The 13173-nt window shown below is 38.7% G+C and overlaps 1 protein-coding gene across 13 annotated transcripts in view; it reads right to left on the bottom strand.

Annotated features, from left to right (window-relative positions):
* FMNL2 (formin like 2) overlaps positions 1 to 13173 on the bottom strand; it is a 314653-nt gene that overhangs the window by 86344 nt on the left and 215136 nt on the right. For 10 of the 13 annotated variants that reach the window (XR_241279.5, XM_011510531.2, XM_011510533.4 and 7 more), the window contains exons 5-6: positions 4660 to 4743; positions 2448 to 2600 (exon numbers count right to left, since the gene is read on the bottom strand). Coding sequence is in view for 12 of the 13 variants with exons in the window: in XM_011510531.2 (XP_011508833.1) it covers positions 2448 to 2600; positions 4660 to 4743 (237 nt within the window). In the remaining variant the exon portion in view is untranslated. The remainder of the gene's footprint in view (positions 1 to 2447; positions 2601 to 4659; positions 4744 to 13173) is intronic. The other 3 variants (XM_011510535.3, XM_047443113.1, XM_047443114.1) reach the window with 1 other exon arrangement.

Raw genomic sequence — 13173 nt, 5'->3', positions numbered from 1 at the left:
CACAAGAGCTGGAAAACTATTGATATACATTGTTTAAAAAACAAAACAAAAATCTAAGCTTCAGGTCCTTAAGTGGCATGAAAGTTACTGCCTTATCAGCTTTCTTGGGCTACTAGAAACCATAAAGCAGAATCAAAGGAAATTTAAATGTTCTGTTCTTGAGCTTGAAAATATTAAAACACAAAACAGAAGAATGTGGTATTGGTTTCTTAGCTGGTCATCTTCAAGCACACCTGCCAACCAGAAACATCATATATATAATGCCTATGTTTTTCCAGATACAATTTCCCTATCTGCATGCTTTTGGTCTGACTTTCCAATTTGAAATTAATTCTAGCAAGATCCACTTTGAAGCAAAACTGTGAAGCAAAACAGGCTGGCCTTGGATGTCCCTCGACCTCCAGCATCCAGGGTTACATCCCTCCCTGAACCTGGGAAGTTTCCCAGATTTTCCCGATTCTTCTGCTCTACTGGAAAAAATACTTTAAAAAGTAAGCATACTGAATTATTAACCAGAAAAACAAATCCTTACTAAGGTGGTAGCTTGGCAATACATGATACTTTCTAAGTGTCCAATGATAGAAAACCAAATTAAAATGTACTTTGTAAATTAAATCCCTTACAAATAATTACAGTTAAACTAGTGGTGAGAATTTCCATTCCAGTACCAAGGTGATCAGGAAATTCATCCTGAATTTCCAAGGTGATCAGGAAATTCTTCAGACAATTAGCCTTTCTTTATATATCTGCCAAATCAGCCCATATATTCCTGCCCACATGTGAAGCTGATGCAGATTAGCAGGTTGCACAACCTTTGGCCTACTGCAAATATAATAAGGTGAATTGAAACACTGCTCTTAATATTGAATCAATTCATTCCAAACCCATTAACATTTTTTTCCAGTTCTAAACAAGGAAAATCTAAATGATTTACTGGAGGTATCATACTCAAATATCAAATCCTTCAGCAGAACTTAACTTCATTACAGAGAAATGTTTAACTTTCCATGACCAAAAACCAAGTCAAAGGGACAAGAGGTAATTAGACAACCAAATCCAAAGGTCTGAAAGCCACATATTCACTGGCTGCAATCTGACATATGGATTCTACAACAATGACTGAATACCCGGAGTGATCGTAAACACTTAGAGAAATAATGTCCTCTTGCCAGATCATGCCTGAAATAAGATAGAAACACTTTAAGCTAGAAAGAGTAAGTAAGGGGGTAGTGTAGAAAAAAATGAAAGGAAAGAATAAGCAACATTTTGGAATGAAGGTCTTATTAATAAAATTTTATGTTAAAATCATGAACCACAGAAACCGTTACAAACTTGTTCTAGATGATATCTCTGTCCTCATAGGCAGGAGTTTGATTTATCCACCAACATACAATTAGTATTAAGTGTTACGCCTGACAAATAAGAAGCACAAAAATATTTTTCAGTGAATGAATGATTGTAGGTATGAGTGAATGAACAACCTCAGCAATATTAAACCCATTACTAGTACAGGTGGTCAGCACCAATCCTCCCTTAGCATGGTACTATTTTAGCCAGAAGAGATGAGAAAGGGAATACTTAGGAGAAAATATAAGGTTGACAACTGGCCGGGTGTGGTGGCTGATGCCTGTAATCCCAACACTTTGGGAGGCCAAGGTGGGCAGATCACCTGAGGTCAGGAGTTCGAGACCAGCCTGGCCAACATTGTGAAACCCTGCCTCTACTAGAATTACAAAAAAAAATTAGCTGGGCATGGTGGCAGGTGCCTGTAATCCCAGCCAGTTGGGAGGCTGAGGCAGGAGAATCGCTTGAGCCTGGGAGGTGGAGGGTGCAGTGAGCCAAGATTGTGCCACTGCACTATAGCCTGGATAACAAGAGCGAGATTCCATCTCAAAAAAAAAAAAAAAGGTTGACAAGTGAAGCATATCTAATCAAAGGAACACTGGTTAATGGCATCTCACTAATAAAAATTATCACTACAGCATTCTGTACCTATGGCTAAGAAAACACCCACAGCACACAACCTGAGCTACCACTGGAGAAATGAAAGAGAGCGGAAGGACAAAGGGTAACAAAGGGCAGAGATCCCAGATCTCTAAGTGCTGCCTCTACCCTGGAAACAGTACCTCCATCAGGATGTCAACATTCCCCTGGTTTCAAAACCTTATCTGCCTATGAGACTATCCTGTTCTATCACTTGGCAGCAGAATTTTCCCACCTTCTATGCTGAATCAAGGTATGGTGTTTCCAGAAGCTATTTAAAGTTATCAAACATTGCCCAAGGGAAGATCCCATGAACTCCTAAAGAAACATTCATTTAGAGTCATTGCAAATGAAAGTGCTGTATGGCAATTTATGAGATACAGTGCCCAGAATCATCAAAAGAAGTAGGAGCCTGCTGTCCCAGTGCATCCTGCCAAAGTTGCCTCCTGATTAAACGAACTCACCGCAGTGCAGAATGTCTTCCAGAGCGGGAGACACTGTTGCCCACAGGTGAGGGCAGGTTGCTCCCTCTGTGCAGGTCCTCGATGGACCTACTCCAGGGCTTTGATTTGTCCACCGAGCTCTCCACAGTACTCTCCACACTTTCAAAGTCAAAACTAAAACAAAAGAGAAATGCCATTGAAGACTGAAAAATTCACATTCACATGTATAAACGAACATGTATAACTTGCTGTTCCTACAAGACATCTGCACCTTAGTATGGAAAGTCTTTGTAAACAAAGAAAACTGGAAAGGAAATATAATGGAATTTCTATGGGCTCAGTGTTAGCTTTAAGAATACAGAATGACAAATAATGGGTCTGGCAAAAGAATAATGGAACAATGAGCAGCAAAAATTAAATAGTGATATATTATTTGTATTTTATTTTATAAGGCTTGCTAATATATAAGTCACTAACATTGGTATGATGGAAGGGGGAAAAGATCTTACAGCTGTCTTCATTTTGCTTTAACAAGTCAATATGTTAGGCTTATACTAATTTATTCCTACCCATCAATTTTCACTGAGCATTTTCTCCTAGTGTGTTGGCAAGTGTACTTTTCCAAGCATATGTGATACATTACTAGCAAAGTTATGGATTTGCTTTGATTTTGGAATCTCCTCCCAGTGTGGTGCTCTTTAAAGTAAGACTGTTGTTTCTCTGACATTTTTTGAGGTTATTACTCATGTTAACCATGTTAGAATAAATGACAAGTTAACTTGCTCACTCTTGTATAGTTTTAGGAACAAAGTTTTTAAACAGACAGGCTTTTGTGCTCCATGCATTTCCCCCCTCACAAAGTAACTGTGCTTTCTCAAAAGAAAAAAAAAAAAAAGAAATTGTATTAATTGTTTCTATCCATAGCAACACCTGATCAGACAGTAGAACAATCAGAAGGTAGCTACACTTAATATCCTCAGGAAAATCTTAGAGGATACTGCAGAAGAAAAAACAATAATACATATTGGAAATCAAAGTGTAACTTTTTATAAAAGTATAACTGCCAAAATAAAATATTTGGTTAGAACCTTCATCTGAAAATTGGTGATGACTTTCACCTATAAAAGACTAATCAGATAGCAGAGATAGATGCACAAAGTCCATGGAGGCAACTGGTCACAATTCTGTCATGCCTTTGGCTGCAGGAGGTAATACTGAACATAAAAGAGTTAGAATGGGGTAATCTAATAAAATTTTAACTGCTAAAAAGAGAAAGCAATCACTGAGATGAGAGAAGGTAAGACGAGGAGGGCATCCTGAAATCACTCGTGGCATTGATGCCCTCGCTAGGCTACTCTACAGCTCCCACGCCATTCAGCGTGTGTTCCTCTCAGCTCATCCTCACTCTCACACAGCAGAAAAAGGAAACACACATAGAAATGAGTGCTTCTAGGTTGGGTGCGGTGGCTCACACCTGAAATCCCAACACTTTGGGGAGGCCGAGGCGGGTGGATCATCTGAAGTCAGGAGTTCGAGAGCAGCTTGCCCAACATGGTGAAACCCCGTCTCTACTGAAAATACAAAAATTAGCCGGGCATGGTGGTGGGTGCCTGTAATCCCAGCTTCTCAGGAGGCTGAGGCAGGAGAATCACTTGATCAGAGGTTGCAGTGAGCCGAGATCATGCCACTGCACTCCAGTTTTTACTCCCCTTCAGCTTATGGGCAGAAAATCAAAACAATACAAATGCATATCAAGGAAAAAGGAACAGCCTCCTGTTACCTCTCCCTCCAGTGCCACTACGTTTGGTATCTGTTTCTGCAATCATTTTCTATGCACTTACTAGCATATGCAAATATACATGCAGACATCATTTTTAAAAGAAAAAGGGAGTCACTCTTTTGCATCGCCTAGTGATTTATCACATACCTCTTTCACCAACTGTTAGACTATTCTTCCATATATGTAACTTAAGCCCTAAAGAAAGCGTTACTTTTGAAAATAAGGGCTCCTTTAAGAGTGATTTTTATTCACCTGTTTTACTTCTGCCTTAAAGGCATTTCTAATACCATTATGTGATTTGTTTTTAGTTACCCAAACAGAAACAAACCTCCCTAAGCCCTAGCACATCTGCTTCTGAGTTTCTGCCCTCTCTGTGGTGTATAATTTTACCACTGAGTAGCATCTGCTGTGACCACATAAAATTCAAATGCAAGCAAGCCAAGTTTTACTTACGTTACCGCGTACTGTGCAAATGAGAGATATTCCACTAGAACATCAAGACCTTTGTTTTCTTCATTCAGAAATTCTCTGACCCATCTGTTGGGGAAAAAAAAAAAAAAATCATTGGAGAAATTGATCACATGACCTGCCATGGAACGGACACAATGCAAAGTTTTGTTTTTTCCACCAGAAACTTTCATTGCCTGAAAGGACATAGGGAGGAAGGCCTAGACTACTTCACATGAGGCAGGAGCTTTTCAGATATGGTAACTAAGAAAACCACAACTTTTTAATGTGCAAAAATAAGGGCCAAAAAGTACACGTGGGCCATCTTTGCATTTTACTGCTTAGAGGATTTAAGATAATCTGTAAGAAACTTTCTTTAAAGAAGGCACTTGCTTAATGTACTTTTTCCACCACAATTGATCTACAGCCTGCTTGTGGAAGGAAGCAAGACTATGGACAATGAGGCAGATGGGGGACATGACAACATAACCACAAAAATCCAGGCGGGATTCCAAATCCAAGTTCAAGTCCTTGGCACACTAAGCTACAGAAACCACTAAACTAGCCAATGAGAGACCACTGTTTATGGGCTTCTAGAAATTCAATAGGGATAATGATTTGCTTAACTTTTTCCATGAATGTTAAAACCTTTTTAAAAAGCTGCAGGCACCGCATACTATCATCAAGGCCGGCACATGACAAATATCAGGTTTTTTAAAAAATTCATTTTTAAATAATACCTCCTTGCATTTGAATGGTGCTCCACAGTGCATGGAGAATGCTTATACATTCTTATTTGTTCTTCATAATAATCCTGATGGGAGGTCAAACAGAATCTTTAGGGAGATGGATGTAAAATGTCACCACCCCCTTTTACAGATTTCCTCCAGTGCATTCATCTTCAAACAACATATGGTACCTGATTAAACCTTCACTAAGTTTCAAACTCCAACAAATAATAAGTTAAAAGATCTACTACTATCGCTGAAATGCCACTTGAGGTACATCTGCCACCTGCATTCCACAATGGTTGCTTTCCTCCAGAAACACCAAGCTAAAAAGTCTGACCAGCTATGGACATGATAGTGACTATGGAAGCCAGTTTTGTTAGTTATTAAAATAACAGTAGGACAATTCTACCAAGTATCCCTTAAGCATGAGCAACCCCTTGAGGTCTTTGTCTTAAAAGGCAGAAAACAATCCCATGGAATCAGGATATTTGGTTTTTTGTTTGTTTGTTTTAATTTTTGGCAGGGGGAAGGGGTTCTTTGTTTCATCCTCAAGGTCATTCTTTCTTCTAGTCCTGTCATCTCCATGATGCAAACCCAGCCCAGGTCTGCAGGTAGTTCCAGGAGGCGGCAAAGTGGGAAAGTGGAAAGATTGCCTTGTGTTTTCCCCTCAAGCGCCTCAGAGAGGCAACTGCAAAACCTATGCACTTGGCATAGCTGCCTGTAAACATATAACATTTAATTTAAGAGAGACCTGGAGTGGCAACGGTGGCAAAGAAAATACCACCTGGTAGGCCTCACAAAGTGGCTTTGTTATGAGACCTAGACAAAACTAACAGGGCTGGCTACTGGTGGAGGCTGAAGTTTCATTTCAAAACAGCCACATACACAATCTCACAGCACCTACTAGATACTTATTTTTTATTTATTTTAAGTACTTTCTGTGGTGCTAGGTCTCAGGAGACACTGATCACGTTTAAATACTAGTAATTAGAAGCTTAGAAATAGTAAAAAGAATTTTTTCTTTTTTGTAACTGGCTGGAGACTTAAAGTCTGGAACTCAATATCAAAATCTGATGATTAGAAAATCTTTAAATTCAAGCCCCTTAGCCTTGCTTAGGCTTTTCCATTGGTGGCCTATGGGCTGTGATTGTACAATTTAAACTGGCCCTCGGTGGTGGGTGTCTTTTTAATATGAAAAATAATCACGGCGGGGGGAGGGGGGCAGATTTTTCAGGGCAGTCTCAGTTGTACATATTCTCAGTGGCCCATAAGAACACACTAATTTAGGAGCTAAGAGAAACAGCCATTGTCGTTTCTTCTGGTTGATTTTCCAGATGCAGCCTCTGTAGAGTGCAGACCATTCAGAATGCACTCAGTGCCTGCCCTTGTGTCAACTACTGGCAGGCACCTCCATCTCACTTGGAAAGTTCAGCCACCAATTGGACAAGAGGCAAGTGACCTACAGAAGAAAAACTAAATTTTTTTAAGGTAGGAAATAGCCAAGTACAGCCAGAGTTACAATTCGCTTAACATGCTAATATGCATACGTTTTAATGCAGGGATAAAGAATACTCATTGGCTCCTCTTACTTCACTTCAGAGTCCTTATCCATGCCCCCATCACCACTTCCTGACTTTGAGTGAAAGGGCCTCAAAGACAATTTTCTGAGTAAAAGGTAACAGCCTGCTGCCTACCTCCTAAAAGGTCAGCTAAAGTGTGACATGTTTTACCCCTGATTTAATTTCATGCAGTTAACATCTTTTTCAAAGCTACAAGATCCTCCCTGGGATTTGATCTAGTCCTGACACCCCCAGCTGCTTTAGGAAAGAATGAGATCAGTCTTTCAGGGCTGGCTACCTTCCCCACTTTATCAAATGGTATCAGGTTAGCTTAGCAAAGTCATTTCAGCAATAAGGGTATGGATGACATGAAAAAAGAGCCCCCATTTTTCTAACTATTATCTCAGTCCCTACCCCTTCTTGACTTGGAACTTTCTGTATTGGAGAGAACTGGCCATTTTCAATTGGAGTTGAAAGTGAACTTCTACAGAAATATAAGAGTAAGGAAAGAAAACAGGTAAAGATAAAAACGGGCAACTTTCAAAGCAGTAACTGGAATCTAAAGGCATTCAAAGAATATGGATGCCTCATTTTGCAGATTTATGTAAATGATCATGCAAGGACTATATCATATATTCAGGGTTCCCATAGCAAATTAGTTCCATTTCACCTCTGTGCATGCTACACACACTTTTTAATATGTTGCCAATAGGCAAACAGTTTCAAATTGGGTGATTATAGGTTTTGGAAAGTTGAATTATTTCTGACTCTGACAGAACGCATAACTTCCTGAGTGCCTCACGGATTCAATGTAATTACCATATGCTGTACATCTGAATTTAGGCAAATTCTAAATCAGATGCTTAGGAGCTGGAAAAGACAGGGACAATGACAAATAGCTCTGGAAGAAATTGGGTGCAAGGAAGAGATGTAAGTGCCAATGCCAACAGTCACTGTTTTATTGTAGGCTGGTCACAGCTTAATATCAAATCTTTGTTCTGTCTCCCCAAATCTTAGAACCTTATTTCTCCTCATATAGGTCTTAAGAGATGTTCCTGGCTTTCAATTTCTAAGATCAAGCCAAGTAGCCCAAAGTTGCACAACAGAAAGGAAAAAGCAGTTAATTCCTTTTGCCAGCCTCCTCTAGAGAGAGGTCCTACAGACATATGTTGGGAACTGAAGTTGATGAAAAATCATGAAAAGCAAGAGAAAGAAGCACTGTGTGGATTCAACACTGGTCATCAGATCTACTCTGTTAGGCAGTGTTGCAAACTGATTCTCAAAGTATAGCCCATATACCACTAGGGGTCCCTGAAACCCTCTCAGGGCGCCTGTGAAGGTAAAACTGTTTTCACAAAAATATTAGGACATTAGTTGTTTTCAATCTGTTGACACTGACACTTACAATGCCAAAGAAATACTGTATAAAACTGCTGCAACCAAAGAAGACACTTATTTATTGTATTTGTCACTCCGTGCACTCAGGAGGGGGAAAAGGCCAGCTTCACTTAAGAACGCCCTTAGATAAGCAATAAAAAATATTGATTTTATTAAAGCTTACTCATTTAGTACACATCTTTTTCATTTTCAGTGTGACAAAACAGGAAGCTCACATAAAGTACTTCTGCTACCTGCTCAAGTAGCACAGTTGTCTCAAGGAAAAGCACCTGTGAAATTGTTTGAGTTGCGAGCTGAACTAGCCATTTTTTCATGGAATGTCAATTTACTTGTAAAAATAACTGACAAACTATGGTGATTCAGTTTGGGGTATGTGGCAGACATTTACTCAAATATGAAGTGAGCCCATCCTTTCAAGGACAACACAGTATTTGTTGCTGATGACCAACTTTGAGCTTTCAAACAAAAACTAGAATTCTGGAAAACCTGTATTCACCACCGTCAGTTTGACAGCTTCTCAATACTTAACATATATTCTAATCAGACTGGTGGTTATTAACAAATGTGATTTTTAAAAACATTGTAAAGGGATATGCTTCAACAGTGGAGAAACATGATTTTACTGAGTTATTCTGATCTTCCAAATGACCAACATGATGTTAACAAATCATGTCACAAGTTCATGTATGGATAAAAAGACCCAATCAAAGTGTAAGACAGCACAAAGGATTTTTTGAGACAGGGTCTTACTTTGTTGCTGAGGCTGAAGTGCAGTGGCACAATCATGGCTTACTGTAGCCTCAACCTCCTGGGCTCAAGTGATCCTCCTACCTCAGCCTCCTGAGTAGCTGGGACTCCAGGATCATGCCACCACACCTGGTTAATTTTTGTATTTTTTATAGAGACAGGGGTTCACCATGTTACCCAGGCTGGTCTCAAACTCCCAGGCTCAAGCCATCCTGCCCACCTTGGCCTTCCAAAGTTGCTGGGACTGCAGGCCACAGCACCTGGCCAATGGATTTTAATATAACAGAGCACAAAAAGTTCACTGATATGATTTCAGACTCTACATTATAGCTATCTGTAAGAATTAGTTACTAGCCGTTCAATTTTGGGGGTACTACTAAAAAAAGAATATCCCAATTATCTGAAAAGACCATTTAAAAAACTCATCTCTAAGTGTGTATAAGACCCAATTTTCTACATATACATCAATCAAAACAGATCACGACAAATTGAATGTTGACTCAGGAGAATCTAGCTGCCAACTATTAACCAGATGCTAAGGAGATTTGCAAAAATTAAACCAATGCAGCCTTTGTCACCAATTTTTTTTTGGATTTGAAGAATATTTTTCATAAAACATGTCATTTAATTTATAATGTATTAATATTTATGTTAATACATAACATTTATTTTATATGTATTTAAATTAAATGTTATTAAATATTACATTTTATTAAAGACATTTAAAATTTATCAGTTTTAATTTCTAATATTATAAACATTAATAGATTTGACACATCTAAACAAAAGCTTATTGGGGTTCAAAAATAAGTTAAAAGTATAAAGGCACTCTAAAACCAAAAAAAAAAAAAAAATGTGAGAATTGCTGGTTTAGTAATAAATTTTAGAAGTGACCGTATCTAGGCTCAAATCTCGGTGCTTCTAACTTGTGTGGAATTGAGCAAGGTACTTAATAAATGACCCTCAGTATTCTCATCCATAAAACAGGGATTCAGGGCTAATGGTCAATAAGATTTTTGTAGGAAATACACAGAATAACAAACGTAAAGTACCTAACACCGTGCTTAATAAATGACAAAATGATTATAACCTTGATGGTTTCTAAAAAAGTACCATCTAGGAATAAGTTAATCATAAGGCAGCTTGATACACACATACACTCCCATACGTGTTGTATGCATGTTAAAAGCAGCCTTTGTCACTCTCCTGTCTTTCTTCTTTTGGCCTGGCTCAGCCAGCACTGATTCATAAAGAAGTCTGGTGGGCAGGAGAGAAGACATCAACTAAGCAGTTCCTCAGCATCTTCCCTTTTCTACAAACCTCCTTCCCCTCCTTGCCAACTTGCCACATTCCTTCTGCCATCTCATGCCTGTTCTCTCTACACCACAATGAGAAAGTGAAATGAGCATCTTTCAGAACTTCTGTGACCTTGCACTGAGGATGAAAAGTAATTTTCTATCATTATAGGTAGCTTTACTACAATAAATTCCCTGCAAGGAGAGACAGTGTACACATCAGTTCCATAGAATAAAGCTGGTAAATCTGTCCAGTTCACCCTCACCACCATTTAAATCCTATCACTCTGACATCTTAAGCACCATGGCATCTGCCTACTCACACTGCATGGCTAGTGTATTCTAACACTATGTGGATCATTTCAAGGGTATTTCAAGTAATTTCAAAAGCTTAGATAAGTCATAATCCAATTCTTCTCTATTATTATAGTTCCTAAGAGTAAGTGAATGGGATTATTTCTAGTCCAATTCTTATTTCAATTTGACTCAAAGAAAATTAATTTTCTTTCTCAGAAGATTGTTCCATTTATAGAGTTTTAGGCTTATATCAAAACTCAGAAGAAGTCCTTTGCTTGACAAAGCTGCAGCTCAGAATGTTATCTTGGGAAAGCTCAAGTCTTTAACGTTGAAAAGCAAGCATGTGCCCAGAACAATTTTTTTAGGACAAGTAGATTGTAAATGTAATCCCTCCTTTTTAATTTCTGGGTATCATAATCTCCTGGGTGTCAGGATCATTTTAGATAAAGATGATAATACTCTCTGCCTTAGGGAATTCCTTAGAGATATATATAAGAGATGTATATCCTTAGAGATATATAATACTGTTGAATACTGCAGGTAATTATTTGCAACAAGCATAACAAACAACTATCATATATTGAGTAACTATTATGTTTCAGACCCTTTATTAGGAATTTACAAGTTATGTCATCTAATCCTTATAATATTCCTGTGATGTAAGTATTATACTAATTTTATCAATGAGAATTTAACTTGGGTCACATAGTAAGTGCAGAAAACTTACATAACTTATCTAAGGTCAAATAACTAGAAAGGGGCATAGCAAAAATTTGAGCAAATGGGCACCGATTTTTTATTTTTAGAGACAGGGTCTCACTCTGTTACTCAGAGAGTGCAATGGCTGCTCACTGCAGCCTCGAACTCATGGGCTCAATTGATCCTTCTGCCTCAGTGTCCCAGGCATTACAGGTACGTGACATTGTGACTGGCTAATATTTTATTTTTTTGTAGACACAAGGTCTCACTATGTTACCCAAGCTGGTCTCAAACTCTTGGGCTCAAGTAATCGTCCTGCCTCGGCCTCCCAAAGTACTGGGAATACAGGCGTGGGTCACCACACTCACTGAATTATCTATCTATTACAGTATTTTAAACAGTACAATAAAATATATGGCTTCCTTAAATAGCACCTTGCATTCCAAGAATTCTTCATTTTAGTAACTGATTATTTTCATCATTATTGAGTAATTTTTCAGAAGATATCCCTATCAAGTGAGAGCAAGCCAGTTAGTTTACATAACAAAGAGTGAGTTCAGGTTTGGGTTTTCAGAACAGGCAAGATGGTCACAATCTGGTTGTGTGGTTTTACTTCACGTAAGTTTATGCTAGTGATTGGTTGCATATAATCAGACAATGCATCTCCATGAATTTTTCTGCTGCTAAAGCCAAAGCTTTCAGAGTTCCTCACATAGATGGTGGGCAAGGGAAAACTTCACCTGGTAAGGATGAAAGAAATCTAAGAATCTTTCAATATGCCTATAGTATCCTCAACAACAAACCACTCCAATTGCTTGCAGACTGCACTGGCTTCAACCCAACCAAGGTTCTTCTATTCAGCCAAGTTTGTGTTGGAAATGATCATCTTCCTTTTGTATTTGATGGTCAATTTCACATTACTTCGGCAATGCTTAAAGAAATGCTTTTTTTTTTTTTTTTCGGTGAGATGGAGTCTTGTTCTGTCACCCAGGCTGGAGTGCAGTGGAATGATCTCGGCTCACTTGCAACTTCCACCTCCCAGGTTCAAGTGATTCTCCTGCCTCAGCCTCCCAAGCAGCTGGGACTACAAGCACGCACCACCATGCCTGGCTAATTTTTTGTATTTTTAGTAGAGATGGGGTTTCACCATGTTGGCCAGGCTGGTGTCGAACTCCTGACCTCAGGTGATCCACCCACCTCAGCCTCTCAAAGTGCTAGGATTACAGACGTGAACCACCACGCACAGCCTAAGAAATGCTTTTTGACAATTTGTAGAAATCTTGGCTGCAGTTCATTCCACCATTTTCAGTTAAAAGGGCCAAAGGCAAAGGTTTGGACCAAACAAAATCGAATCTAGCTCCTGATTCATAAATATTAGAAAGTATTTAAATGTGCTGAGTCTAAATGCCCAAAAGTATTAAACTACTACCATGTTCATCCCCAGCAGACAAGCCTCATTGCTTTGATCCCAGATCCCTGATAATCTTATTTACTTTCAGGGAAACGGCTGCCAGCATAAGTCATACAGGAAAAACAACAGAGCAACTTGAGCCAAAGCACCTGGCTCTACAGCTGTAGACTTTGTGCAATTCACTCACCTTCTCTGGTCTTTAATTCTTTTAATCTGTAAAAGTAGGCATCAGGCAATTCTTAATTTCTCTTCCAGTTCTAAAATCATGACTCTATGATTCTTTGTTCTATAGCCCATTTCCAGGGACAAAGTCTAGAATTAATTCATTTTCTGAATATTTCATTCTCAAGGTGAAAAACCTGCTGGTTATCATTTAAGAAATG

This window comes from Homo sapiens, chromosome 2, assembly GCF_000001405.40.
Source record: "Homo sapiens chromosome 2, GRCh38.p14 Primary Assembly".
NCBI classification, from domain to species: Eukaryota; Metazoa; Chordata; class Mammalia; order Primates; family Hominidae; genus Homo; species Homo sapiens.
The sequence above is the reverse complement of the archived record's forward strand: the minus strand, read 5'-3'. Positions and strand labels throughout refer to the sequence as shown.